This window comes from Homo sapiens, chromosome 7 (assembly GCF_000001405.40).
Source record: "Homo sapiens chromosome 7, GRCh38.p14 Primary Assembly".
NCBI classification, from domain to species: Eukaryota; Metazoa; Chordata; class Mammalia; order Primates; family Hominidae; genus Homo; species Homo sapiens.
The window spans coordinates 1,681,599-1,709,563 of NC_000007.14; the positions used below are offsets into that span (position 1 = coordinate 1,681,599).

At 48.9% G+C, this 27,965-nt stretch overlaps 1 protein-coding gene and 1 long non-coding RNA gene across 10 annotated transcripts in view, besides 4 other annotated features; one reads left to right on the forward strand and one right to left on the reverse strand.

The window, feature by feature from the left end:
- The window catches only part of ELFN1 (extracellular leucine rich repeat and fibronectin type III domain containing 1), an 81,883-nt gene that overhangs the window by 15,535 nt on the left and 38,383 nt on the right, over positions 1–27,965 (forward strand). For 4 of the 8 annotated variants that reach the window (NM_001394188.1, XM_047420363.1, XM_047420362.1 and 1 more), the window contains 2 exons: positions 6,460–6,552; positions 27,493–27,654. The gene's annotated coding sequence lies outside the window, so the exon portion shown is untranslated. Of the gene's footprint in view, positions 1–6,459; positions 6,553–26,392; positions 26,733–27,492; positions 27,655–27,965 lie in introns of those variants that run through there. The other 4 variants (XM_006715725.4, XM_011515398.3, NM_001394187.1 and 1 more) reach the window with 2 other exon arrangements.
- On the reverse strand, positions 10,308–12,752 carry LNCRI (lncRNA radiation induced regulator of PLK1 and RAD51). 2 transcript variants are annotated; one of them, XR_007060188.1, is made up of 4 exons: positions 12,662–12,752; positions 11,176–12,487; positions 10,698–10,908; positions 10,308–10,606 (listed from the first exon to the last, which is right to left on the reverse strand). It is a non-coding gene; the product is annotated as a lncRNA radiation induced regulator of PLK1 and RAD51 (long non-coding RNA). The 2 variants fall into 2 exon arrangements; XR_007060189.1 differs by lacking the exon at positions 10,698–10,908 and having other exon boundaries at positions 10,521–10,606.
- Positions 23,221–23,930: an enhancer, noted in NCBI's record as "H3K27ac-H3K4me1 hESC enhancer chr7:1744455-1745164 (GRCh37/hg19 assembly coordinates)". NCBI's record gives its function as "activates a minimal SCP1, AML or CMV promoter by ChIP-STARR-seq in primed H9 embryonic stem cells {active_cell/tissue: H9 hESC(primed)}" and the evidence as "EXISTENCE:reporter gene assay evidence [ECO:0000049][PMID:30033119]".
- Positions 23,931–24,640: an enhancer, noted in NCBI's record as "H3K27ac-H3K4me1 hESC enhancer chr7:1745165-1745874 (GRCh37/hg19 assembly coordinates)". NCBI's record gives its function as "activates a minimal SCP1, AML or CMV promoter by ChIP-STARR-seq in primed H9 embryonic stem cells {active_cell/tissue: H9 hESC(primed)}" and the evidence as "EXISTENCE:reporter gene assay evidence [ECO:0000049][PMID:30033119]".
- Positions 26,912–27,412: an enhancer, noted in NCBI's record as "H3K4me1 hESC enhancer chr7:1748146-1748646 (GRCh37/hg19 assembly coordinates)". NCBI's record gives its function as "activates a minimal SCP1, AML or CMV promoter by ChIP-STARR-seq in naive H9 embryonic stem cells {active_cell/tissue: H9 hESC(naive)}" and the evidence as "EXISTENCE:reporter gene assay evidence [ECO:0000049][PMID:30033119]".
- Positions 27,413–27,913: an enhancer, noted in NCBI's record as "H3K4me1 hESC enhancer chr7:1748647-1749147 (GRCh37/hg19 assembly coordinates)". NCBI's record gives its function as "activates a minimal SCP1, AML or CMV promoter by ChIP-STARR-seq in primed H9 embryonic stem cells {active_cell/tissue: H9 hESC(primed)}" and the evidence as "EXISTENCE:reporter gene assay evidence [ECO:0000049][PMID:30033119]".

Consider the following 27,965-nt stretch of genomic DNA (forward strand, 5'->3'; position numbering starts at 1 on the left):
AGTGATCCACCCACCTCGGCCTCCCAAAGTGTGTGCCACTGTGCCCGGCCATATTTAAATTCTTAACAAGCTGCCCAACAGTTTTCCAAACTGGCCGGACCATGTTACATTCCCACCAGCAACACGTGAGGGTTCCAGCCCCTGCGTGTCTCTCACCACCTGCTATTGTCGGTCTTTTTATTACAGATCTTCAGGCGGATGTGTAATGGTGTCCCATGTGGTTTAAATTTGCATTTTCCGAATGACCGATGAAGTTGAACATCTTTTCATGTGCTCATTAGGCATTCATATTTCTTCTTTGATAAAATGTCTATTCAAATCTCTTGCCCATATTTAATGGATTTGTCTTATTATTGAGTTTCAAAATTATTCAGAATTATTGTGAGTTCTGTATATGTTCTGGATACAAGTCCTTTATCAGAAATGTAATTTCTGATCTCTTATCCCACTCTGGAGCTTGTCTTTCATTTTCTTAATGGTATCTTTTTGGAGCACAGACATTTTTTAACTTATTATAAAGTCCAATTTATCATTTTTTTTCTTTTATGGAGCATGTTTTGGGTGTCATATTTAGGAATCGTTTGCCTAACCCAAGGTCACAAAGATTTCTTCCGTTTTCTTCTAGGACGTTTATAGCCTTAGCTCTTGCACTTAGGCCTATTGTCCAATTTTAGCTAACGTCTGTATGGTGTGTGAGTGTCAGAGCTTGTTTTGCTGTATACATGTTTTTGAAAAAGACTATCTTTTCTGCACTACATCTTATTGGAATCATAAATGGAAAAGTTTATTTCTGGACTCTCAATTCTATTCCATTTGAAGTATATGCCTATTTTTATTTTATTTTATTTTTTTTATTTTCAGAGACAGGGTCTTACTCTGTTTCCCAGGCTGGAGTGCAGCGGTATGATCACAGCTCACTGAAGCCTCGAATTCCTGGGCTCAAGTGATCTCCTCACCACAGCCTCCCAAGTGTTTGGGACTACAGGCGTGTGCCATCATGCCAGGATAAATTTTTTTTTTTTTTTTTTGTAGAGACAAGGTTTTCTGTGTTACTGAGGCTGGTCTTGAACTCCTCTCCTCAAATGATCTTCCCATCTTGGCCTCTTGGAGCACTTTTATTTCTTTTTCTTGCCTTATTGCACTAACTGGAACTTTCAGAATAATCTTGAATAGCAGAGGTGCTTTGTTCTTGGCCTTAGAGGAAAAGCATTCAGTCTTTCACCATATGATGGGAACTGTGGGGTTTCATAGATGGTCTTTATCAGGTTGAGAAGTTCTCTGCCATTTTTAGTTTATTGAGAGTTTTTCTGTGAATGGGTGTTGGATTTTGTCAAATTATTTTTCTATATCTATTAAGGGGATCAAAATTAGTGATTTTCAGATGCTAAACCAACCTTGCATTCCTGGGGAAAATTCTACCTATATTTATATGTTGTTGGTTTTGGTTTGCTGATATTTTAAGGATTTTTGAATCTTCTGCTTATGAGGTTTAAAGGTCTGTTATTTTCTGTGATGTTTTTGGTTTTGGTATCAGGGAAAATATTGCTCTCACAGAATAAGTGGAGAAGTTTTTCTCCTTTTTTTTTTTGAATGAGTTTGTGAAGTTTTGATATTATTTCTTTAAATATTTGACAAAACTTACCACTAAAGTCATAGGGGCCTGGGCTTTTCTTCGTGGGAAGATTTCAAATTAATCAGTTTGTTTGTTTTTTAACTTGTTATGTCTTAGTTTAGTTTTTTTTGTTTTTGTTTTACTGGTTACAAGTCTGTTCAGATTTTCTATTCTCACTAAACCAGTTTTGATAATTTGTGTCTTTTTAGGAATTTGTTCACTTCATCTAAATTAGGTCTAATCTGTTGGTGTAAAGTTGTTCATAATATTCCTTTATATTTCCACATACATTTGAAAACATTGTGTGGTCTTTTGGGTGGAATGTTCTATAAATGTCAGTTAGGTCAAGTTGGCGGTAATATTCAAGTCTTCTCTGTCCTTGCTGGTTTTCTGTCTAGTTGTTCTATCAGTTATTGAGAGGGAGTGGAGTATTGAAATCCCCAACTATTTTTGTTGATTTGTCTATTTCTCCTTTTAATTCTGCCAATTTTTGCTTCATGTATTTTGGGACTTTGTTGTTATGAGGATATTTATTTATAACTGTTACATATTCCTGAGATACTGACATATTTATCATTATGAAACCTTCCTCTTTGTCTTTGACAATATTTCTTGTCTTAAAGTCTATTTTATCTGACATTAATTTACCTACTCCAGGTTGGGTGTGGTGGCTCATGCCTGTAATCCCAGCACTTTGGGAGGCCAAGGCAGGAGGATTGCTTGTGCCCAGGAGTTTGAGACCACCCTGGGAAGCATAGGGAGACCCTGTCTCTACAAAAAAATTTTTAAATTAGCTGGGCATGGTTGTGCACACCTGTAGTCCTAGCTGCTTGAGAGGCTGAGGAGGGAGGGTCACTTGAGTGTGGGAGGTTGAGGCTGCAGAAAGCTAAGATTACACCACTGTACTCCAGCCTGGGTGACAGAATGAGACCCTGTCTCCCCAAAAAAATTTTTTACCTACTCCAGTTCTGTTATGGCTAATATTTGCATGTATATATTTTCCTAGCTTTGTTATGGTTACTGTTTGCATGTATATCTTTTTCGATCCTTTTATTTTCAACATATTTGTATATTTGAACTAAAATGTACCCCTTCTAGACAGTATATATTTGGGTTGTTTCCACACTTTGAATATGTCATTCCACCACCTTCTTCCCCCCATAATTTTTGATGAGAAATCAGCCATTGATCATATTGCTGTCCAGTCTGACAATCTCTGCTTTTTATTTGGTCTGTTTAGTCCATTCACACTTAATGCAATTTTTTTATTTCTTATGGTCGCTGTTTTCTTCATTGTTTTCCATGTCTCATGTCTTTACCCATTCTTTTCTCCTGTGCTGCCTTCTTTTGAGCTAGGTAAATACTTTTCATGTGCCATTTTAATTCCTCTGTTAATTTTTAAACTAATTTTTAGAGTTATTTTCTTATTGGTTGCCTTAGGGACTACAGTATGCATACCAACTTATTACCATCTATTTTTCATTAATACTAACAATTATGGTAAAATATAGAAACTTTACTCCAACATAGCTCAATTTTCTTCTCCCTGTTTTGTACTATTATTATCATATATTTCATTAATATATGTTGACGTATGTTATAACATATAACAATATAGTGTTAAAAATATTGCTTTATACAATCTTATGTTTTTAAAAGAAGTTAAGGGAAGGAAAGAGAAAGTAATACATTTATAGAGCTTTTTATATTCGTCTATGTATTTACCATTTCTGGTACTCTTCATTTCTTTCTGTGAATTTGAATTACCATCTGACATTTCCTTTCAGCCTAAAGGACTTCTCTTGGTATTTCTTCTAAATAAGCTGTACTAGCCCCAGATTCTTTCAGTTTCTCTTGATCTGTAATGTTTTTAGTTTGCTTTCATTCTTGGCTAACAAATTTTTTTTTGTTTTCATATTTTGAATATGCCATTCCACCACCTTCTTTCCTCCATAGTTTCTGATGAGAAATCAGCCATTTATCATATTGCTGTTACTCTGGACACTGTGAATCAATTTTCTCCTGCTCCTTTATTTGTCTTTCAACAGTTTGGCTATGATGTGTCCAGGTTTGGATTTTTCTTGTGTTCATCTTATTTGGTGTTTGTTGATCTTCTTGAATCTGTAGATTAATGCTTTTCATCAAATTTGGGAAATTTTCAGCTATTATTTCTTCAAATCTTATTCCTGTGTCTTTCTCTCTCTCCTGTTCTCTTGAGACTCCCATCACCACATATGCTAGTGCACTTGATGTCTCATGTATGTCAGAGGCACAGTTTATTTTTCTGTTCAGTTTTTTCTCTGTGTTCTTTAGATTGAATACTTCTATTGATTGATCTTCAAGCACACTAATTTTTTTTTGCCATCTTGCAAGCCCTCATGTAATGAATTTTTCATTTCCGCAGTCATACTTTTTAATTCTAAATTTTCCATTTTTTAAATAATTTCTGTCTCTTCATTGAGGTTTTGTGTTTTGAGTCACTATTATTATCCTTTTCTTCAATTCTTTACACATAGTTGTCTTTATTTCTTTGACTGCATTTATATTATATAATATATAAACCGTTGAAAGATTTATATTATATAATATATAAACTGTTGAAAGATAATATATAAACCATCTTTATGTCTTTGAATGTATTTATATTATATAATATATAAACCATTGAAAGATATTTATATTATAGTTTATCTTTCAACGGTTTATATAAGTATTAAAATATATATATTAAATTATATATAGTTATATTATACAAATATATAATATAAATATATATTTATATTATAAAAAGCTTTGAAGTCTTTGTTATATCTAACATCTGGGGACACTCAGTGACGGTTTCCATTGACTTTTTTTTTTCTGAGTATGGGTCACCCTTTCCTGTTTCATTGGATGTCTTGTAAGTTTGTGTTGAAAACAAACACTTCAGGTAATATATTGCAGCAGTTCTGGATGCTGATTTGTATTCCCAAGAGTTGCTAGTATTGCTGGGTTTTGTTGTTGTTGTTGTTTGTGTAGTAATTGACCTGGACTGAAGCTGTGAAATTCATTTTCCCCTGATGTGTGAATGTGAGATCATTGTCTCTGTTAGTTTGTCCTTGTTTTTTTTTTTTTTTTTTTGAGATGGGATCTCACTCTGTTGCCCAGGCTGGAGTACAGTGGTGTGATCATAGCTCACTGCAGCCTGGAACTCCTGGGCTTGAGTTATACTCCCACCTCAGCCTCCTAAGTAGCAGGGACTACAGGTACATGTCACCATTCCTGGCTTTCTTCTCTTTTCTTAAATCCCTACTTGTTTTAATTCTGGCCTCCTAGATTACCTCTGTGTTTGCATAGCTCTGTGGTCAGTCAGTGATTGGTTTGGGGTTGTTTCCAAATACCTTGAGCCAGTCAGGCCTACACATGCTGTTGATAGATCTGCATGTGGGTCTGTAAGCACATCCAAAGATCGGGTAGTTTTCAGGCCTGACCTGGTTTCTACTTTTTTCCAGACCCTCTTTTGTCTCCTCTGCATATGCCTACAGGCTTTCAGCAGGCCAGAAATTTGTGAATTGCTTGGGCCCTCTCTGCTGTCCCCTGTGTATGTGTGGTACCCATCCACTGGGCACATGTGGAAGGCTTATCAGGTATCTCTATGACTGTCATATTTCATGCAACTCTCTGTCAGATTCCCAGCTAGTCTACTGGTGTATTGCTGCCCCAGTCAGGATCACAGCTTAAGCCTGGTAGAACCACTGGCTTTCCCCATTCACTTGCCACCGAGATTGCTGCTTCTTACTGACAGCACTTCTGCCAGACGAGAGTCTGTGCCTTCTGCTTCAAATAAAATCAGCCCCTGACAGCAAAGCTGCTAGTTTTTATGATTTGCCTTGCCCTGCCCTGCCCTGTGGGAATGACTGCATTAACTGAGTTGGGGGGAGGTGCGGGGGGAGATGGGAGAGCTTCAGGTAAGAACTCCACAGATTCCCCCTGTCTTAGCCTAAGTTAAGCAGTTTTTCATGAATGAAGGCCTTTGGTTAATTTCAAGGATGTGGAAATGATTGTTTTTGAGAATTTGGAGTAGCTTTATAGTTGTTTTTTGGAGAGAAGATTTGGTGACCTTTTCACTATTCTATGCCAGAATTCCCACCCTGTGGTATTTTTTTTTTTTAAACAAAACTTAAAAAAGGGTAGCATATGCAATTCCATGAAGTACCACAAAGTGAAATTTATGTAGGAACCATCTAGCTCAAGAAATAAAAATGATACTTGTATCTCAGAAGCCCCCCACCCCATCTCCTCCTGATCACTACCCTTCTCTCCTCCAGGGGAATCTCACAACTGCATAGGACTGTACAGTTGTCTCAAAATAGAAAATTTAATTCTAAGGAAATAAAATAATGCCATTGAAAATGGATGGTATATTTCAATAAAAGGGGTAAGATCAACTGGATTAGTATACCTGGAAAAAACTGAAACTTGATGCCTACCTCACACCATAGATTAAAAAATTAATTCTGGAAGAATTAAAGGTCTAAATGTTAAATCTAAAACAATCTTTTAAAAGCCTTTGATATTGTCAGTCCTTTTAAATTTTAGCATTACTAGTGAACACCTTTTCATAAGTTTATTGGCCATTTGGATATTTGTATGTCATTTTTTTGTGACCTATCTGTTTAAAAGTCATATTTGTCTTTTTTCTTTTATTTGTTTATTTTTTTTATAGAGACAGGGTCTTACTATGTTGCCCAGACTGGTGTCAGACTTCCTGCTCAAGTAATCCTCCCACCTCAGCATCCCACATAGCTGGGACTACAGGCACATGCCACCATGCCTGGCTAATTTTTTTTTTTTTTTTTTTTTTGTAGAGACAGAGTCTCCCTGTGTTGCCCAGACGGGTCTCAAATTCCTGGACTTAAGCGATTCTCCTACGTTGGTCTCCCAAAGTGCTGGGATTACAGGTATGAGCCACTGCACCTGGCCCCATTTTTCTATTGAGTTGCATTCTTTATATGTTTGTAGGAATTCTTTATATATCTAGTAATTCTTAATTTTTTGATTACATATGTTGAAAATATCTTCTCTCATTCCATGGCTTGCCATTTCACTCTTTCAGTCATGTATTTTAATGAGAAGAAGTTCTTCATTTTAATGTTACTCAAGTTCTCCTCCATGGTTAGCACTTTCTGTTAGCTTATAAAGAAATCTTTTCTCACCTTAAGTTCTTGAAGATGCTCTTCTATGTAATCTTCTAGGAGCTTTATTGTTTTACACCTGACATTTAGACTTTTAATCCACCTGTAATTTTTTATCTATGGCGTGAGATGTAAGGATCAAGTGTCAGTTCTTCCTAGGTATACTAATCCAGTTGATTTTACCCCTTTTATTGAAAAATACCATCCATTTTCAATGACATTATTTTATTTCCTTAAAATTAAATTTTCTATTTTAAGACAATTGTACAGTCCCTTGCAATTGTGAGAATAATACAGAGAGATCTCATGTACCCTTTATCCAGTTCCCCCCAGTGGCAACATCTTACAAAACTATAGTACAGTGTCACAACCAGGATATTGACAGTGATACAGTCCAGATACAGAAAAGTCCCATCCCACAAATATTTCTCTTGTTACCCTTTTATAGCCATGCCCCCTTCCCTCACCCCATCCCATCTCTGACCTCTGGTCACTGCTAATCCATTCTCCATTTCTATAATTTTGTCTTTTCAAGTACAAATGCTCCTCAATTTATGATAGAGTTACATCCTGATAAACACATCATAAGTCAACAATATGTCAAAAATGCATTTAATACCCCAATAAACCCATTATAAAGTAAAAAAATTATAAATCAAAGCATCGTTAAGTCAGGGACTGTCAGTCTGCTGTGTAAATGGAATCACACAGTATGTAACATTTTGGGATTACATTTGTTTTCCCCCACAAGATTCCCTGGTGATTCATTCAAGTTGTGATGCTTATAGTTTGTTCTTTTCTGTAATTGAGTAGTGACATTATTTCTTAACCTGGGCCTCTCTACTCAGCATACTGTATGTAGTGTGTATATATGTGTGCATGCTCACGCATGTGTGTGCTTCTGTGACTGTGGAAATATAATTTCAGCATTGCACAGGCTTGTAGTCACCATTCCAGTCATCTAATGTGTCTGAGGGCTCAGAGCTCAGATGGATAAGTGAGGGGAACAAAAGATGAGGTGAGACGCTGGGAGGAACACAGATTCCCGGCTCAGTCCCCAAGCCACTGGTTGCTAAGGAACCATGAATACATTTCTGGGATTGCAGACTGACCCTGTTCCCCTGGGATCTGCAGAGGGCTCAGCTGGGCAGGCCTGGTTCCACCTTTGCTGGGGGCTGGGCCTGGTGCACTACAGACCCTTGAGATGCTGTGGAATTGGTGACAAGGGAAAAGCATATCCTGTCTCCTTATTTTTAATCATGTTGAATCTCCTAACAACATTATCCATTTACAGCGCCTTGAGCCAGCCAACTTCCCTGGCATGGCCCAGTTTGAAGCCTCTGCAATCACGTGCCCATTACAGGTGGCGAGTGCTACACTGAGATGAGTGTCTTGCCCAGATTCACACCTTCCTGAAGCAGAGCCAATGGGGAGTCCTCTGGTTCTTTAGCTTTTGGTTGTCTCCATGAGACCTAGAGTGGTAACAGGAGCTCTTCCCCAAGCAGTCAGGGATCTGAGCCAATGCAGTCACAGAATGGGAACCCCTTGAGCCCTCTGGACACCTGGCATCTGGAGAGGGCATTAGGTTAGGAATTGGGGATTGGGACTCTAGCCCTAGCACACAACTGGCACATTCCCTTCTTGACATATGCATCATCAGATGGAGGGGTGGATGAATGTATACATGGATGGACTGATGGATGGGTGGATGGATGCATGGGTTGATGGATGGGCGGGTGGATGGATGAGCAAGTGGATGGATGGATGGATAGGTGAGTGGATGGATGGGTGGGTAAATGGATGAATGGATGAATAAGTGAATGGATGGATAGTTGATGGGTGAATGGATGGAAGAAAGATGAGTGGGTGGATGGGTAGGTGGGTGAGTGGGTAGGTGGATAGGTGGATGGGTGGATGGGTGGATTGGTGGGTGGGTGGATGCTAGAAGGATATATGGATGATGGATGGATGGATGGGTGGGTGGGTGAATGGATGAATGGATAGGTGAGTGGCTGGATGGGTGGATGAATGGATGGATGAATGGGTGAATGGATGGATGAAGGATGAATGGATGGATGGATAGGTAGATGGTTGAGTGGGTGGGTAGATAAGTGGATGGATAAATGGATGGATTGGTGGGTGGATGCTAGACAGATATATGGATGATGGATGGATGGGTGAGTGTGAATGGATGAATGGATAGGTGGGTGGATGGATGGATGAATGGATAAATGGATGGATGAAGGATGAATGGATGAATGGGTGGGTGGAGAGGTGGGTGGATGGGTGGATGGGTGGATGCTAGAAGGATATATGGATGATGAATGGATGGATGGATGGGCGGGTGTGTGAATTGATGAATGGATAGGTGGGTGGGTGGATGGATGGATGGGTGGATGAATGGGTGAATGGATGGATGAAGGATGAGTGGGTGGAGAGGTGGATGGATGGATGAATTGGTGGGTAAGTGGGTGGATGCTAGAAGGATATATGGATGATGAATGGATGAATGGATGCCTGAATGAGGGAGGATGTAGATTAATGATGATGGAAGTAGATAATGAATGAGTGGATGATACATACAGAGACCTACAGGGACTGGAAAAATACAATGTCAGTATGGACAGGAGCTTGGAAGAAATGGGAGTGTAGAAGTCCCCCAGGTAAAGAGGCTAATGTCACCAAATGGCAAATGGAGATAATGAGGCCCCCAGAAGTGGCTTGTCCAAGCCCAGGGAGTCAGAGAGCGACAGAGTTGGGACCCAAACTTGACCGTGCCTAAGTCCAGATCCAGGCTTCCCTCTCCACTGCTTCACATCTGCAGACAGCAGGGTCTAAACCAGGAGCCAGGGGCCTCCGGGATGCCGACACTGATCCCAGCAGACAGGAGGTCTGTTTGCACCCTCGGAGGTTGATGCAGGGAGTCTGGGAGTCAGGGCTCTGCAGTCTCCACCCAAGGCTGCCACCTTCTGCTCTGCAGCCTTGGGTGCTTACTCCTGGCAACAAGCATTGATTGAGCACCAGCTGTTTTTGGCACTAAACGTTAGGCCCTGGGCTGGACCCTGAGATATTCGGTTGGGTAAGCGCTGTGGTCCCTGATGTTAGGGGACTTATGGCCCTCCCTCAGCTTCCTCATCTGTAAAATGGGCAGGGGGTTAGAATCGACACCTCTGAAGGCTGTGTTAGGCTGGAATTCCCAGCTTCAGGGATCCAGGCCCGACCCACTGCTCCCACAGCCCAGGCCTGACCCACTGCCAGCTCTGCATCCCACAAGCTGGCCACCGGGTAGGTCTCTGTTGGCATCAGTGGCCGGTGAGAGCCGAGGGCGTCGTGGAGATCCATGTGAACCATGGCCTCCCTGTGCAGCTGTCTGAACCCCACACCTGGGACATTGCCAGGCTGTGTCTAAAGGCTGGGCCAGGGAGCCCAGGAAATGTTTAACTTTGAAAAATGGACCTTCACAGCTCATTAAGCCTCAGCGGCGCCTCGGGCGGTGTGGGGAAGAAGGAGATGCCAGGGCATGAAATTGCTGAGGTATTTAAAGGCCGATTCTGCATTCCTGACCAGCAATGTCTGCCTGCCAAGGCCAGCAGTACCAGGCTCCAGGCTGGGCTGGCGCAGTGGTGCTCACGTGCCCAGGATGGCCACGATGGCTGGTGGGCGGGGGAGTGCCGGGCATGAGGGACTCCTTTCATCTCTGAGTGCCATGACCCTCCTGGCATCTGCTATTTCCTGCCTTCGTGACCTTCGACGAGACACTTTTTGCTGCTGGGCCTCAGTTTCTCCACTTTCACTGTGGTCTGTGTGCCAAGTAGCACTCCTATTTTTAGAAGCAGAAGCTGGTTATAAACTGCACAGATCTGTCTGGCCTGCCCTGCCAAGGCCGGATTGCCAGAGGGTTCTGTGAGTACCGATCGTGGCTGCAGGGACGGGCTGGGCTGCGCTGTGGAGTCTGGGCTGAGGGCTGCTCCCTCTGGCCGTCTGGGTCCACTCAGGGCTCACGGCAGTGTAGGGCACACCTCTCTCCCAAGCCTGGGCCGGGAGGGCCTTGCAACAGGCAGAGTAGAGAGGAGTGGGGCTGGGAGCTTAGGGATCTTGAATTGGGGGTGCATCTGCATGGAGCTAGGGAAGAGACAGCCAAGAAAGATCGGGGCTGATCAGCAGAGGCAGGCAACACCGTGGCACTTGAAACATGGAAAATTGCCTTCGTCATGTACGCTAGATGCAGAGGCATAAACAGGGCATACCCAGGGCCAGCGGCCCACCTGCCGGCTGCACCTGCCCCTGGCTGGGTGGAGTGGGAAGGGAGATTTTTGAGGCCCTCCTGGGGCTCCCTCCCCTCAACCTCACCAGCTCCCTGACTCTGCTGTGTGACCTAGGGTCAGTTACCTTACGTCTCTGAGCTTCTATTAATATTTCCTTCATCGGAAACTACGGACGTTTCTTTAATTCCTAGGTCTGAGGACTGTGGAATCAAAGGAGAGAAAGTGAAAGAACGCCCAGTGGGGGCCACATCAGCTTCCGCCTCTATGTACCCTGCAGGGAACGGCAGGGACCTCACAAGGCAGGCCTGGGCCTGCGCCACGCTCTGCCATGTGCTGGCCGGGCTGTTACTCTCTCAGCCTCAGTTTTGTTGTCTGTAAAATGGGCGCAGGTCAGCCTCTCCCTGTGAACAAGGCTGTGAGGATTCAGCCCCAGCTGGGCTGGCCCGTCCTTCACCCTCCTTAAGGGGTGCAGGCCCCCAGGAAGTGACTGCCCATGCAGACCCCTAGTGACCAGATGCTGGGTTCCGCTGGGGTCCTGGTAGTGGGCAGTGCAGGCCCTGGAGATGTTCATGGCCGCGTGGACACCTTAAGAGTCCAGCAGACGTGGGGTTAGGAAGAGAGGATGTACTGGCTGGGGAAAGGAACGCCCATCGGGGCAGCCTCAGAAAGTGCCCGATTCCAAGAGTCTGGGCAGGCGTGGGCTTGGACTGCCCAGTGTGCCTGGACAGCCGTGTACACACACTGGTGTGCCTGAGTAGGTATGTGCACATATGTGTACACATAGGTGACATGGGCTTAGACTGCCTGGTGCACCCAGACAGGTGCGTGCCGCAGGGACAGAGTATACGATGTGTGGTGTGGGGCGTGACCCACTTCCTGGTGCAAGAACACATACACGCCTGTGGACGTAGCCTTGCTGGGTGTGTGCACATCTGCAGAGGGGTCGGTGTACACCGCTGTGTGAACACCTCCGGCGGTGCCCAGTCCGTGTGAACACATGCAGGTGAGCACAGACACATGCGTGCATGCCCTCTGTGTGTCTACAGACAGCTGTGTGCGCCACACTCACCCTCCCGCTCGTCCCCATGGCAACCCCAGAGCAGGTGTCTGGGAGACCCTGATCAGTGCTGACAGACACGGGGTGCGGGACACGTGGGATGGGCCTCCCCAGGGACGGCTGGGCCAATCGGGGTTCCTGGGCAGAGGCTCCAGCAGGAGTGAGAGTGCTTCCTCCTCCCCAGTCCATGCCACCTCCTCCTGCGTGCCGGCAAGGTGGGCAGCACTCGGGAAGCCCCCGTCTGGCTGTGATTCTTGCAGGGCGATTGGAGCAATACAGCCCTGTCTGGCCTGTCCGTGCACCGACGCTTAGAGCTGAACAGCCTTCAGGGCCACAGACTCAGCAGGGAGCGCCCAGTCTGTGGTCCTGGTCTCACTTCCTAGAAAGAGAAACCGAGGCTTGAAGCAGCTCCAGCCAGGGTTCCCCAGCCAGCCCCGGCAGACCCAGGCCCCTCACACTCCACCATGCCCACCTCCATCTGGAAGGAGGCAGGGAGCCCCCAGGTCCCAGGCTTGGGAGGCCGGTGCCGGGCAGGGCTGGGGAATGCCATCACCTTAAACCCACACTGGCCTCCCTGCGGGTGGTTTTCCTGCCTCCCTTTGCCGTTTTGCTGGTTATCAAAGACCTTTGCTGCGAGACCCAGGCCGGCCCAGCCCAGCGCCTCCCATCCTCCTGTGAAGTCATCCGCTCAGTTGGCAGGGTTCCCATGGCAACGGCAGTGATGTCACAAAGAGCTGGAGGAGGATGGCTGGAGGGAGGAGTGGGGTGAGGCTCCGGGAGGGGATTCCTGGCTTCTCCCAGGCCTTCTAGAAAGATAGAGCTCTGGTCCATCAGTCACTCAATAGGCCGGAGCTTATGCCCCTAGAAGCAGATCCCAGGGGTACCCCCCACCTCCCTGAGACAGGAAACCATCTCCTTGAAGGAGTCAGCTCCCCCAGCACCCAGACGCCCACCTGCCCAGGTGCAGAGGCCCTTGCAGGAGCGAGGGTATGAGACAGGAGGCCCTGACACCAAGACGTCACTGTCACCATGCCTGGCCCGCACAGCGGTCCTTTGCCAAACTTAGACTGACTCTGAGGGCTGCTGGCTGCACACCCTCCAGGGTGCATTCGAGACCACCTGTCAGCTGCCCTGCACTTGAGTTTCTTGATCTCCACTGCTATTAATAGTTTAATTCCAGAACCAAAGAAACTGTCTGTTCCACAGAAGTGGGGGACTCTGAGAGTCTCCCTGACCCTGGCTGCCAACAGCAGCCTGTGCCCAGCTGGGACAAATTCCAGCTCCCTGCCCTCCCTGTTGAGTGCTGCAGAGGGGCGTCGGGCGTCGTGCACATGTGCCCATCCCCCTCACTTTGAGTTACGCTGCAGACGGCTCCGGATGCACGTGGCTGTGCCAGGCAGCAGACGTGGCCGACAGGCACATGGTGGGACCTGCTCTGTGGCTCCAGAGCTCATGCGCAGCCCGCTGGGGCTGTGAGGGTTCTGTCCATCCACCAGGAAGGCCACCAGGACCCTGCTCCTGCCTGAGAACCCCAGGAAGTAGTAGCGTGCCAGGTGCGTGGCCGGCCTCCCAGCCCTTCCCAGCACCAGCTGCGTCCTCCTCCTCCAGGGCTGCAGCTCAGGGCTCAGGTGTCCGCGTCGAGGGCACTCCCTAAAGGGCAGGAGCAGGACCATTGGCACAAGCCTGGGCGAGTCTCGCTGGGAGGCAGGAGCAGACTCAGCCCGCCAAGCCCATGAACCCCACTTTGAAAACTGTGCAGCCGTGCGCGGCCACTCACACCTGTAATTCCAGCACTTTGGGAGGCTGAGGCGGGCAGATCACCTGAGGCCAGGAGTTCAAGACAAGCCTGGCCAACATGGAGAAACCCCGTCTCTACTAAAAAATACAAAAATTAGCCGGGCGTTGTGGTGGACACCTGTAATCCCAGTTACTTGGGAGGCTGAGGCAGGGAGAATTGTTTGAACCCAGGAGGTGGAGGTTGCAGTGAGCCGAGATCGCGCCACTGCACTGCAGCCTGGGTGACAGAGCGAGACTCCGTGTCAAAAAAAAAAAAAAAAAAAAAAAAACCGTGCTGGTTTGGTTTCACTGACTCCCATTCATTTATTCACAAACATTTACTCAGCAAATCTTGTTGGGCCCGCCAGGCCCTAGGGTTACCAGACAAAGTCTGTTTCCTCCTGGAGTGTGCATTTATTAAATACCTACTGTATGCCGAGCCCCAGGCTGGTTTAGATGTGGGGGCACAGCAGTGAGCAGGGCAGACCTGACTCCTGCCTGCCTTTGTCGGCCCCGGCTCTCATAACAAAAGCGGGACACTGGAGTCTAGACAGCAGCACACATTGTCTCCCCGCCCTGAGACTGGAAGTCTGGGATCGGGTGCCAGCGGGGTTGGTTCTAGGAGGGCCAGTGTCCTGGTTTGCAGATGGCTACCTTCTCACCGTGTCCTCCCAAGACAGAGAGAGAGAGAGAGTGTGTGTGTGTGTGTGTGCGTGTGTATGTGAGAGAGAGAGGGAGAAAGAAAGAGACAGAGGGAGAGAGAGAGAAAGAGGGTGAGAGGGAGAGAAAGAGATGGAGAGAGAGAGAGAGAGAGGGAGAGAGAAAGAGGGAGGGAGAGATGGAGAGAGAGAGGGAAAGAGAGACAGGGAGAGAGAGGGCATGCAGATGCCCTGGTGTCTTTCTTTCTTTCTTTTTTTTTTTTTTTTCCAGAGATGGTCTCCCTCTGTCACCCGGGCTGGAGTGCAGTGACACAATCACAGATCACTGCAGCCTCCACCTCCTGGGCTCAAGCCATCCTCCCACCTCAGGTTCCATAGTAGCTGGGACCACAGGTGCGTGCCACCACACCCATGCACTAACTATTGTTTAAAACTTTTTTCTGTGGAGATGGAGTTTCGCTATGTTGCCCAGGCTAGTCTTGAACTCCTGGCTCAATCAGTCCTCCTGCCTCAGCCTCCCAAAGTGTTGAGATTACTCGTGTGAGCCACGGTGCCCAGCCTGGCATCCTTCCTTGTAAAGGCTCTAATCCCATCGTGGGCCCCACCCTCATGACCTCGGCTAACTCCGATCACCTCCCAGAGAACCCGCTGCCTCCTCTCATCAGCCGGGGGCCAGGGCTTCATCCCAGGGATGCTGGGCACACTTCAGCCCACGGCACTGCCCTTAAGGAGCTGAGGGTCCGGTGGGATGACTCGAGCAAAGGAAGGCATTAGGAAAACAACGAGGGCCACAGGAAATGACCACGAGCAATGCACTAGCAGGGACTGCTCGTCCCCTTTCAGTGGGGCAGGCTGGGAGGCTTCTCAGAGGAGGTGACTCGCCCAGGCTGGGGTCCAAGGCCCAGCGCCCCTCACTGGCTTTGTGACCTTGGAGAAGCTGCTACCCTGTTTGATCTGGGCTTCGCGGCAGGGGTGAGATAGCCTAGAGGTAGTGCTGGAGATGAGGATGGCAACTTGTGCCTCCCCAGGCAGGGCAGAGAGGAGCCCCCCACCCCTCCAGGCAGGAGAGAGGCCAGGTCTAGAGGGGAAAGGGGAGGGTCTCACGCCCATATTCCCATCCATGGACACGCACAGGGCCTGAGACCCCTGCTCGGCTGCCGCAGAGTGTGGGACTCAGAGAGGAACAGTCGCGCCCCTGCCCCCTCCTCCACGGGGATATCTGGGCTGCTGGAGGGGCCTGTGCAGGGAGGAGCCGGTGCTGGGAGCACCCTGGGGCCTGCACTCCCTGCTCTGTGGGTAGGACTGAGCACCGCTGGGTTGACCCTGCCTGCCAGGTCCCGGCACAGCCGAGGCCAGCCCGGTGTATAGCACGTGTTTAGGGTCTGGGTTCCCAGCTTCCCACTGGCCTTGTCTTAGCCTGTCTTCTCGTCCACGCACCCAGGGGTACAATTGGGAAAATCGGTATTTGCCAAATTTGCAACAACTGCTGTGTGATCTGAGACCCTTCTCTAGGGCGGTGTCCACTTCCTGCCCCCACCCCTCCTCCTTCCGGGACTTTATCTCTGTTTTTCACCCTGATCAGGGCTGCCTGCCCGTGAACACATCAAGGCATGTGTCACCTGAACAGATTTTTAAAAATTGTTTAATCGTAATTTATTTGAGAGACAGGGTCTCTCTCTTTCGCCCAGGCTGGAGTGCAGTGGTGCAATCATGGCTCACGGCAGCCTTGAACTCCTGACTTCAAGTGATCCTCCCGCCTCAGCCTCCAGGTGTGGGAAGAAAGGAGAGACAGACAGGGCAGTGGGGCTGGGGCCAGGCCTGGGCTTCCCGCAGAGCCGGCCGGCGGGCGGGCGCTGACTAAGGCAGCAGGCTTGGAGAAGACATCAGACTTTCTTTTCTCTTTCTAATAAATATTTCCAAATGTGCCTGACACAACAGTTACCATCTCTCCTGGCCTTCTTCATCTCTCTAGGTATCCTTTTTTTCATAGGATGCCTACATTTGAACATCTAGCCAAATTTTTAGCCGATTAGATTCCAAGGGAACCTCAGCCTTCATTTCAGGCAAACAAGCAAATTTCAAGCCTCATTTTCTACTTCTAATAAGCACTTATCAAATTTACAGCTCTCATATACAATTCATCAGGTTAATGCCTTCGGAATATTCCTGCCTCCCTTTTGTGGCAATTTTCTTTTCCTGCGTTGCACCCTCGGTGCTCCCTCTGACTTTGCTAAGCAAATTAGCACGTCAGCTTCCTGTCGGGTGAGGAATGGTTGGGCCACAGCAGAGAGAAGATGGGGCGAGGGGGCCTGGCCACCGTTGGCAGCCGCAATGAAATTTTTTTTTACAACATATAAAACATTGTGCCATCCTGAATCACAAAGTCCTAATTAAACACGAATCCTTTTCTGGGGGCCTGGCATTTGAATATATGTAATAGCATATTATTTCTCTCTTTAATTTCAAAAGCAATATACATGTGTATACACTAAAGAAAACTAGGAAAATGCTGAAAACAGGAGATGTAAACTGTGGCTCCACCATGCAAGAGAAGCTTGTCAGCATTTTAGAGCTTCTCCTTCTGGTCTTTTTTCTTCTTTTGAGGATCGGCATTTGTTTCAGGGTTGATATCACTCTTAAAAGAAACTTAAACATTTGAGATGTAAGTTACATACAGAAAAGTTCACAAATCCTCACTGTGCACAGCTTAATGAATTTTCACAAGCACCCCAGTGAAGAAACAGAACAAAACCAGCCCCCCGTGTCACCAGCCCCAGAAGTCTCCTGATGGTCTCTCCAGGTCACCTCTCCCCCACCTCAGGGTAAACACTACCCTGGCTCCTTCCGGCATAGCTGAATTTTGCCTGTGTTTTCATGTTGTATAAGTGGAAGCATCCATTATATACACATTCTGTCTGGGTGCTTCTGCACATTGCACCTGCGAAATTCATTCATCCTTGTTAGATGTGATGGCGGTTCCTTCCTCTTCATTGCCGTATAGTATTCCCATGTAAGGCTGTACCTCAGTTGATGTATCCCTTCTCTGCTGATGGCCTTTCAGGTTGTTTCTAGTCTGGGCTATCGTGGGTACTGTGAGCAGTGATGCACTTCCCCGCACATGTGTTTTGTAGAGACATGTTGATATCTCTGTCCATCTTGAGAATGGACTTGTTGAGTCTGATCATTCACTGACCTCCAGCAGTTTCCAAGTTGCAGCCAGGTGCAGTGGCTCACACCTGTAATCCCAGCACTTTGGGAGGCCGAGGTGGGCAGATCACTTGAGCCCGGGAGTTTGAAACAAGTCTGGGCAACATAGTGAGACCCTGTCTCTAAAAATTATTATTTTTTAATTAGCTGGGTACAGTGACACATACCTGTGGGCGCAGCTACTCAGGAGGCTGAGGTGGGAGGATCACCTGAGCCCTAAGGGGTCCAGGTTGCAGTGAACCATGATGCATCACTGCACTCCAGCCTGGTCCACAAAGCAAGACTCCATCATAAATAAATAAATAAATTGCCACAGTCAAGAATAATAAGGGTGTGCTTTAATTGATTTAGTCATTCTCCTACTTTTTTTTTGGAGATGGAGTCTCACTCTGTTGACCAGGCTGGAGTGCAATGGCATGATCTCTGCTCACTGCAACCTCCGCCTCCCAGGTTCAAGCGATTCTCCTGCCTCAGCCTCCCGGGTAGCTGGGATTACAGGCGTGTGCCACCGTGCCCTGCTAATTTTTGTATTTTCAGTAGAGATGGGCACCATGTTGGCCAGGCTGGTCTCGAACTCCTGAGCTCAGGTGACCCGCCCGCCTCAGCCTCCCAAAGTGCTGGGATTACAGGCGTGAGCCCCCGTGCCCGGCCTCATCATTGTCTTCTTATTGAAAACTTTGGTGGTTTCCATTTTTTTCCTTCTCTATCAAGCAGCAATGGAAATCTTTGGCTGTACATGGTTTTCTCTCTGGGATTCTCTCCTTCTGGTAGGTTCTCAGAAGTGGGGCTGCTGGGTGAAAGGCCCGACATCCCCTCACAGCCCTGTGGAGGTGTAGACTGTGAGCTGGAACAAGCCGTCTATACAGCAGGGTGCGAAAGTCCCATCTGAGCCAGGGAAAGAATAACCACCGTGTGAACTTTGTGTGAATGCATCTGCGTGACCACAGTCAGGGTGAAGACGTAGAATGCTGGCGGCCCTCAGAGGCTTCTGGCGCTTTCTTTCCCAGTCCCAGAGCTCTGTCATTCCTGATCGTAGCAACCAGCATTCCTGGACAATTGATTCTGGATTCGCCTGTTTCTGAACTTCCCATAAATGAAATCTTTGCATACTTCTTCCCTTCTGACCTCGTTCTTCTGGTCAACACTCTCCGGGGGAGACATACCCATTCATTGTGCTTGGTGCTGGTTCATTCTCATCACTGAAGCGTGTGCTGTCCTAAGAGGGGATCAAGGTCGGTTCCATTTTGGGGCTGTGGTGAGCTCCCTTGCATATCTCCTGCTTCACACGTGTGGGACCCTCCCTGAGGTTTACACCCCAGAGAACAGTCGCCGGCTCTTTCCCAAAGCGGTGGTGAGGCTTTGCACCCTCAGGACAGCGGACGAGAGTTCCCGTTGCTCCACATCCTCCTTCCCCAGCGCCAGATCTGATGAGATGCTTGAAGCCTCGCCGGTCTGGCGGGTGTGTCCTGGTATCTTACCAAGCTTTCATTTGAATTTCGCTGGCGAGTAATACAGTTGAGCACGGGGTTTTTGGCCGTGTGGATGCCCTCATTTGTGAAATGCCTTTTCAAGATCTCTGCTCATTTTATGACTGAGGTGTCAGTTTTCCTTATTAATTCATAAGAGGTGTTTATAGATTCTGAATGAGATCACATTCTCTCAGAAGGTAGCTGTCGTGTAGCTTGTGTTTTAATACTTTGCATGATGTATGTATGCGTGTGTATGTGTGCGTGTGTGTGTGCGCGTGTGTGTGCGCATATGTGTGCGTATGTGAGCCTGTGTGTGCATGTGTGTGTGTGGTGCACGCATGTGTGTGTATGCATGTGTGTATGTGTGCGTGTGTGTGCATATTTTAGAGACAGAGTCTTGATCTGTTGGCCAGGCTGGAGTGCAGTGGTGGGATCACGGCTCACTGCACCCTTGACCTCCCTGGCTCAAATGATCCTCCCACCTCAGCCTCCAGAGTAGCTGGGACTACAGGCACACTCCATCATGCCTGGCTAATTTTTTACACAAATTTTGTAGACACGGTGTCTTCTTTTGTTGCCCAGGCTAGCTTTTCATAGTATATTTTTACGAGCAGAAATTCTTTATTTTTATGTAGTAATATTTATCAATATATTCTTGCATGAGTGGGAAGAAATTCTTCCCTGTCTCTCAGTCATCAATATATTTTTCTGGCTGGGTGCAGTGGCTCATGCTTGTAATCCCAGCACTTTGGGAGGCTGAGGTGGGAGGACTGCTTGAGCCCAGGAGTTCAAGACCAGCCTAGGCAACATGGCAAGACCCCTTCTCTAAAAAAAATTAATGGAGCACAGATGTGCATGCTTGTAGTTCTAGCTACTTGGGAGGCTGGGGTGGGAGGATCACCTGAGGCTGAGAAGTTTGAGGCTGCAGTGAGCTGTGATTATGCCACTGCATTCCAGCCTGTGAAACAGAGTGAGACCCTATCTCAATCCACAAATATATATTTGTATTATATATACATATTTTATCTTTTTATCTACTTTATCTTTCAAAATGTATAGTTCTTCTTTTTGCATTTAGCTCTGTAATCAGCCTGGAGTTGACTTTATACGTGATGGGAAGCAGGTATTCAGTTTCATTTTTTCCCATATATATTCAATTTATTGAAAAGTTATGCCTCCTCTCTCTATTAAGGGCTGCCTCTTGGGTCAGTTTCTGGATTTTTCTGTTTGTTCCATGGGCTTGTGTGTCTAATCTTATAATAATATCTGAGTCACCATAGCTTTATAGTCAACTGTCATTATCTGATGGAAGAAGAGCCATCCTCGGCCGGGTGCAGTGGCTCACGCTTGTAATCCCAGCACTTTGGGAGGCCAAGGTGGGCAAATGACAAGGTCAGGAGATTGAGACCATCCTGGCTAACACGGTGAAACTCCGTCTCTACTAAAAATACAAAAAAATTAGCCAGCGTGATGGCGGGTGCCTGTAGTCCCAGCTACTTGGGAGGCTGAGGCAGGAGAATGGTGTGAACTGGGAGGCGGTGGTTGCAGTGAGCCGAGATTACACCACTGCACTCCATCCTGGGCGACAGAACGAGACTCCGTCGGGGGGGAAAAAAAAAAAGAAGAAGACCCTCCCTCACTCCACCTTGTTCTTTTTATTTAGTGACATTCTTGGCCTTTTTTTCTTCCATATACATTTTAGAATTAGTTTGTCAAGTTCCACAAAAAGAAAAAAAATGGATTGTGATTTTGATTGAGATTGCCTTGAATGTATAAATTAATTTGAAGACTGTTGATGTTTCATAAATATTCATTTTCTATTCATTACAGACATATAGAAATTCAATATATATTTGTATATGAATTTTATGCTAATATTTTATTAATTTTGGTAACATATACATTCTGTTGGACTTTTTATGTACATAATCACATTGTCTGTGAATAGCGAGAGCTTCGTTTCTTTCTTTCTGAATCTTATAATTTTTGTTTCTTTTTCTTGCCTTATTGCAATGGCTGCAGCTACTAGCACCATGCTGAATCAGAGTGGTGGCAGCAAGTATCCTTGTGTTGCTCTTGATTGCAAAAAGTTTTAGCTGCACCGTGGTGTGATATGCTGTAAGTTATGCACATGTTAAGAGTTTAGATCTGTATTGCCAAATGACTTTCCAAAAGAATTGTGCCAATTTCACCACAACCGTGCCAGCACTGCAATGCACTGGGATTTATTTTTAGTTTGGTGTTTTTGTTTTTTTAGATCATGTCTACTTTGATGGGCCCATGGTGTCTCACTGTATTTTCTAAAAATTTGCATTTCCCTGATTATACGGGAGGTTGAGCATTGGGCCATACGTTTCGTAACCACCTGTATTTTCTGTTTTGTGTTTGTTCCTTTACAAATTTGTTTATATGCTGTTGATGTCTCCCTAATCAATTTGAACGAGTTCTTTACATAATGAAGATAGTTATCATTTATCTGTCACATTCGCCACAAATATCTTTCCCTCTCTGCTATACAGCTTTTAATTTGGGTTACTTTTTGTGTTCCTTTTTCTTATTTTTATTTGGTCAAATCTGCCTCCTTTTTCTTTTAAAATTTATTCTCTTCCTTCTGAGCTTGGAAAGCCTGTTTCCCTCCTGAGAACTGATAAGTATTGAATTCTGTTTTCTTCCAGCTTTTTTATGGCTTAATATTTCATATTTAACTGCTTACCCCGTCTGGAATTTGTGGGGCTGTGGGGTGTGAAGTGAGGAGTTAATTGCCGCTTGCAGTTTACCAGGGGATGGGGCCTCATTTGCACTTCCAAGTCTCTGGGCTCAGCTTCCTCTGTCGGTGCTGAGCGGGGGAGATTAAAGGAAGCAGGGAGGTGGCATCTTGTGCGCTGGGATTGATTGTGGAGCCCTAATTACCACGGGGACAATCCTACTGGCAGCCTCTGCCTGAGTTTCAGTCCAAAGCAAAGAACTCTCGGCCGAGTTTAGCTACATCCAGTGTAACCTTGGGGAGGTCTCTGTGTATGTTTGAGACTCGGTTTCCCAGTCTGTGAAATGCGGGTACTGATGACACCTGTCCTGTAAGGGCTGTCGCCGGACTGTGTGCTGGGGGGTTTGTCCTGCAAAAAGCAAGGGGCCGGGAGGGCTCAGTACAAATCCCGGCTCTTCTGTGTGACCTTCAGCAAGAGGTGTCACTGCGGTGTGCCTTAGTTTCTCCATCTGAAAACAGGGATAATAAAGCTGGAGTTTCCACCTCCTCGTGGGGCTGGAGGATGGTTCTGCAAGTCAGCCCATGGGAGGGCCTGGCATTTGCCACAGGTGCACAACCGCTGTTGTTCTTGTTACGGCTGCCACTCAGGAGAAGGGAGCCTGCAGCCGGGCATGGTGGCCTCTGGGTGGGGGACCCTGCCAGCTGTGAGTGGGCTGGTGGGTGGGGCCACCTCCTTTTCCCAGCACCGATGGAGGCCATACTCTCCCCCTCCTCACCCCAAAACTGGGCTGTGGGGAATGGGCACCCAGAGACCCAGTCTCTTGGTCCTGATCCGGACAAAAGGACCAGCGTTGTCTGGAGAACCTACAATACACACACACAAGCACACAGACACTCACACATGCACACACAAGCACACCTGCATGCACACACACTCATGCATGTGCACACGTGCTCACACACAGCCAGACCCTCCGTAAACACATGGTGATACACACAAAGCCATGTGGGTCACTGGGTCTCGACTCCTCCCCACCCCAGGAGGCTCCACCTACAGCAGTACTAGGTGGGGGTCAGCTTGGGGTCCTGAGTGTGACCTGGGGTACGCAGTCAGATCACCCACTGCCCTTGCTTGGGAGTCCCGTCTCCCTCACTCTGAGACCCCACATCACGTCACCCCTGCGAGGTCAGTGCCAGGTCTGGGCACCCCTCCACAGCCAGGTGCCCAGCCCCCCAGTAGGGGGCAGGGACTTGAGTGGCAACGTCACCTGTCTGCTGAGGGCCTGCCTGCTGTATGCTGGGGTGTGGGCTGGGCAGGCCCCACACCAAGGGTCAGCCCTGTCCACCAGGGCTCGAGGTCAGCTTAGAGCCTCATGGAGCTCCCGGCTGGAGAGAAGGCAGCCGTGCGTGTCCCCGTCAGAATGTGGAGACGGGGACAGTGAGGATGGGCCCTGAACAGAGGAGCCAGCCTGGGTGGGTCTGCGAGAGGCTCCCAGGCAGAGGGCACAGCAAGTGCAGAGGGCAGAGGTGGAGACCTGCTGGGGTGGGGGGCGCGTACTGGAGAACAGAGGGACACCCAGTGGCCAAAGGGCAGAGCCCGCAGGAGGTAACAGCCTGAGGGCTGCAGGTCACACCCACAGGGCCAAGGGGTGGGCAGCATGGAGGTGCAGGGTGGCAGGGACCCTGGGCGGGGCGGCACAGCTGTGCGGGAGGCTGGGCTGCTGGCATCAGCAGGCGCCCCTCCTCCCCACCTCGCTAAACAATCATTGCACAAAATATGCAAATGGTATAATTACTGTTATTTGTTTTGCTGATATAAGTGTTTGAAATGCAAATGTCAAGTTTGGGCGCCTTCATTTTTCCAACCCTCTCACCCGGACATTTGCAAGTTGATGAGTTGTTCTTCATCCTGGAAGGAGGAGGAGGAGCTCCCCCCAACCGCCAGGGTGCCAGGGGAGTGAGTCCAGCGTGGCAGCCGCCACTGCCTGCCCGAGGGCACTGCTGGGCCCCCCTTCCGACGGCACACAGTGGGCACCTCAGATGGCAGGCCTCACAGCCTCACCATGCACCTGTGTGATCAGCCACTCGGAGCCTCAATTTACCCTCGCCTCTGGGGGCTGCTGTCCCTCTGGGCCCTTGCCCTTTCTGGCCCTGCCCTTTCTGGCTCATGGCAATTCAGTGGATGGCTTTGGGCCTCGGTTTCCTGTCCACAACATCCTGCACAGATTTGTTGCCCTTCTGTAAAGTAGAGTCTTAGTGTCCCGGGATGGTCCTCGGGGAGGTCTGATGAGCCCCCGAATATCACAGACAAAACTGCCTGTGTATTTTCCAGGGTGGGTTCTTAGCTTTGACCCCTCCAGCCCAGTGGTCTCTGAGGTTCCCCAGCCTGCGGTTCCAGACGAGATTGAACTGTGAGCCTTCACCCTGACAAAGGGATGGTCACGATCGTCCTTGTTCTACAGGGAGGGAAACTGAGGCACAGCATTCCAGGGGCTTGTCCAGGTCACGGCAGTGGTGGTGTCGCTGAGCTGCCAGCCTAGCCTCCCTCTGGGTTCCTCCTCCGATCCACCGCGGACCACATACAAGGGCAGGAGCCACCACTTCTTCAAAACTCAGCAGCTGGCTGGGCACCGTGGCTCACGCCTGTTATCCCAGCACTTTGAGAGGCCGAGGTGGGTGGATCACGAGGTCAGGAGTTCAAGACCAGCCTGGCCAAGATGGTGAAACCTCATCTCTACTAAAAATACAAAAATTAGCCAGGCATGGTGGTGGGTGCCTGTGATCCCAGCTACTGGGGAGGCTGAGGCAGAGAATTGCTTGAACCCAGGAGGCAGAGTTTGCAGTGAGCCGAGATGGTACCACTGCACTCCAGCCTGGGCAACAGAGTGAGACTCTGTCTCAAAAAAACAAAACAAAACAAAACAAAACAAAACAAAACAAAACAAAACACCCAGCAGTTCCACATCCTTCAAGTTCCACCATGCACTGCTGCCACCCACACCACCCTCCACGACATGCAAATCTGGGCGTGCCCCCGGCCTTCCCAGTGCAGCCCCTGGGCCAGCAGCTGCTGTGTGTTAGATCACCAGTGACCCCACGAATGCCTGATCGATGCTGGCTGTTCAGAAGCATGGGTTTCTAGCAGCAATGCAAGGACCACTGTGAGGTTGTCTAATCACCTTCACCCCTATAAAGTGCACAGCCCCAGAGAGACCACCCTCCAGGCCTGGCTGGCTTCTACAGGGTGGATGAGTGGGCCCCTGCACCCCACCTTGTGTCCAGCCCCTCGGGTGCCATGCGTTGGCAGATGCTAGGCAGGATGTTGGGTTAAAGCTCAGGCTGTGCCCGAGGTGGTGCATTGGATGCCTGGGCCTGGATGTGTCTGAGTGAGCCTTTGTGGAGAGCGATGGGTGTGCCTGTGTCATTGAGTGTGCATGCCTCTGTGTGCGCATGCATGAGTTCATGTGCATGTGTACACATGTGCAACACACGTACACGTGTACACATGTGTGCACGCACATACATGTCTGTGTACACTCACAGTCTGCTTGCGACGGTAATGGAGAGTGAAAAGCTCCAGGGCAGGTGCCCTGACGTGCACACCGTGCCCAGCACACGCATGTGAGAACATGCAGAGCCCGCTCCCAAGGGGTCTGGGCCTCTGCTCACAGTGACACGGTGGTTCCGTGATGTCTGGCTGTTCCGCTTTTGGATGGCTTTGCTGGAAAGTCCGAGAGCAGCTGGAAATCCGCGTCCTGGCCCGACCCCTCCACGTGACTGCAGGCTGGCTGCACACGCCTGTCTCCTAGTCTATAACATGGAGTGCTTTGCAGAGCTGGGCTGGGTATACAGTAGGCACTCCACAAGCATGCGTTCCTGCCTCTCCCTGGGGCTTTGCGGGAGGCTGGTGGGCAAACGCCCTGCATCGCAGCATCTGCCCTCCCAGCGCGGGAAGCAGGGGCAACCCTGGGGCTGATGGGTGCCCTGGGAGGGGCCTTGGGCAGGACCAAGCAAAGGAAGCAGGCACGGGCTGGGTAGACGGCAGGGCGGCTCACAGAGCAAAGGCCTGGGGCAGAGCGGGTGTGGGCCTGGAAGCCTCCTCTTATTTTATTTCAGTTACCTTTTCCAACACAGGTTCAACCTCATTAGCATATTCAAATACACACCATTATTATTTCAATTAGTGGTTAAGTAATAATCTCTAACTGATGAGCATCCCCCCACTTCCCCACGTATTTTTTGGTTATTTACATCTGCTTCTAACCCACAATTTTAGGTAATTACATGCCACTCACTCATCTATTTGCACACACACACTTCCTCCAGCTACAGGTTCCTGTTCGCCTTCTAGCACTTACTCTGTCCCTGGAGCTGTGGGAGCGGGGCACAGGCAGACAGACAGACCGGGGGGCCCCTCCTGGCCCCCACTAGGGCCTCCTGAGGCTCCCTCAGCCTCCAGGGGCGCGGATGCGGCAGAGCCCAGCACCAACCCCCCGCCTCTGCACCAACCTCGCGAACCCCTTTGCACCTAGAACCCCCCTTTGTCTTGCAGACACTACCTCCTCTGGTCCCTGCACCCCACCAGCACCCCACAGCACTTCCCCTCCTGCCCTCCAGATGCAAAAGCATCATTCATGGGGCTGGGCTCTGCACCACACCCCAGCTGTGCGACCCTGGCAGGACGACTTCCCTTCTCAGCCTCAGTTTCCCTATCTGCAAAATGGGGATCAGGTGCCACCTCGTGGTGAAGGAAGCAAGTACGCTGGTGAAATGAGATGAGGCCTGGAGAATCCTCAGCACCAGGGCTGGGTGCGTAAAGCTTCCTGGGATTGATCCAGTGGGTGGACGAATGACCTGACCTGTGGGCGGCATAGTTCACTGACCAGCCCAAGGTCTGTCACTCAGCAGACCAGCACAGAGCTGCGCTTGGGCCTGAGGCTTCTGCCTCCTGACTTAGTTTCCTTCTCAGTGATTGGCCTGGCCTGGCATTTGGCATACTCTGCTCCCAGGCAGTTGGGGTGGGAGGTGCCAGGGAGAGGGCCCTGCCAGGGGTGGAGCAGTTCTGGTGAGCATACCCAGGGTCTCTACCTAATCAGTCCAGCTGTTGTTTCATCTTCCTTCACCTCCTGGAGGGATGTTGGATGCGATGTGCCTGGAAGGTTCCCACGGACCCAACAGCCCCAGAGGCTCTGGGGCTGTAGCCCCAGAAGTGAGCCCCACCTTTACCCCAAACACCTGGGCCACCGCCAAGTGACTAGAGCTGGAATTGGTTGCAGTGACCCCAGGTCTGGCAACTCCCTCGGTCTGCAGTTCAGTTCATATCTTGCATCTGCTGTTGGCTCCTCTCCCCTCTATCCCGGCTGGCACATGGCTCTGTGTGTCAGCCTGCTCTGTGTGTCAGGAAGTCCCCAGCCTCTCTGATTTGTTCTTGAGGTGTGACGTACCTGCAGTCCGACACGTGTGACTGACAGCTGGTGGCTCCGGCAGGTGGGGTCTTCCAGCAGCTGAGACGGCTGCAGGAGGCGATGCTCCATCTCTCCTCAACCTCCTCCCCTCTGTCTCTGTGCAGGTGCAGCTGCCTTGGCGACCATTTGTCCTACAGTTTGTCCGGACCCAGGCTGTCCTTCTGTGTGCTGGAATGAGGCGAACATGTCTTTGAGCCCAGCAGGGAGGAATCCTCCAGCCTATTCCTCGCTGGTGCATCAGGTCGTTGGCGGGCCCTGACACACAAGTAAGGCATGCTCTTGTTCCTCATGCTCTCCGCAGGGGGTTGCAGAGAAGGGGGACAGGAACAATTCCTAATGACCTGTGAGTACGTGTGCCTGGAAGGAGATGGAGACAGAGCCAGGTGTCCTGCAGAAATAAGCGTTTCTTAGGGATTGACTCTTGTTCAATGGTGCTGCCCTCAGATGAAGGGAGTGGACAGAGGCCGCAGGGGTGGCCTCGGAATTGGACAAAAGGAGCCTGGGGCTGCCGGGGGACCCGGAAATAGTCTAAGTAGGTGGTGGCCATACTCGGGGTATGCCCATTATCCTTCCCTGA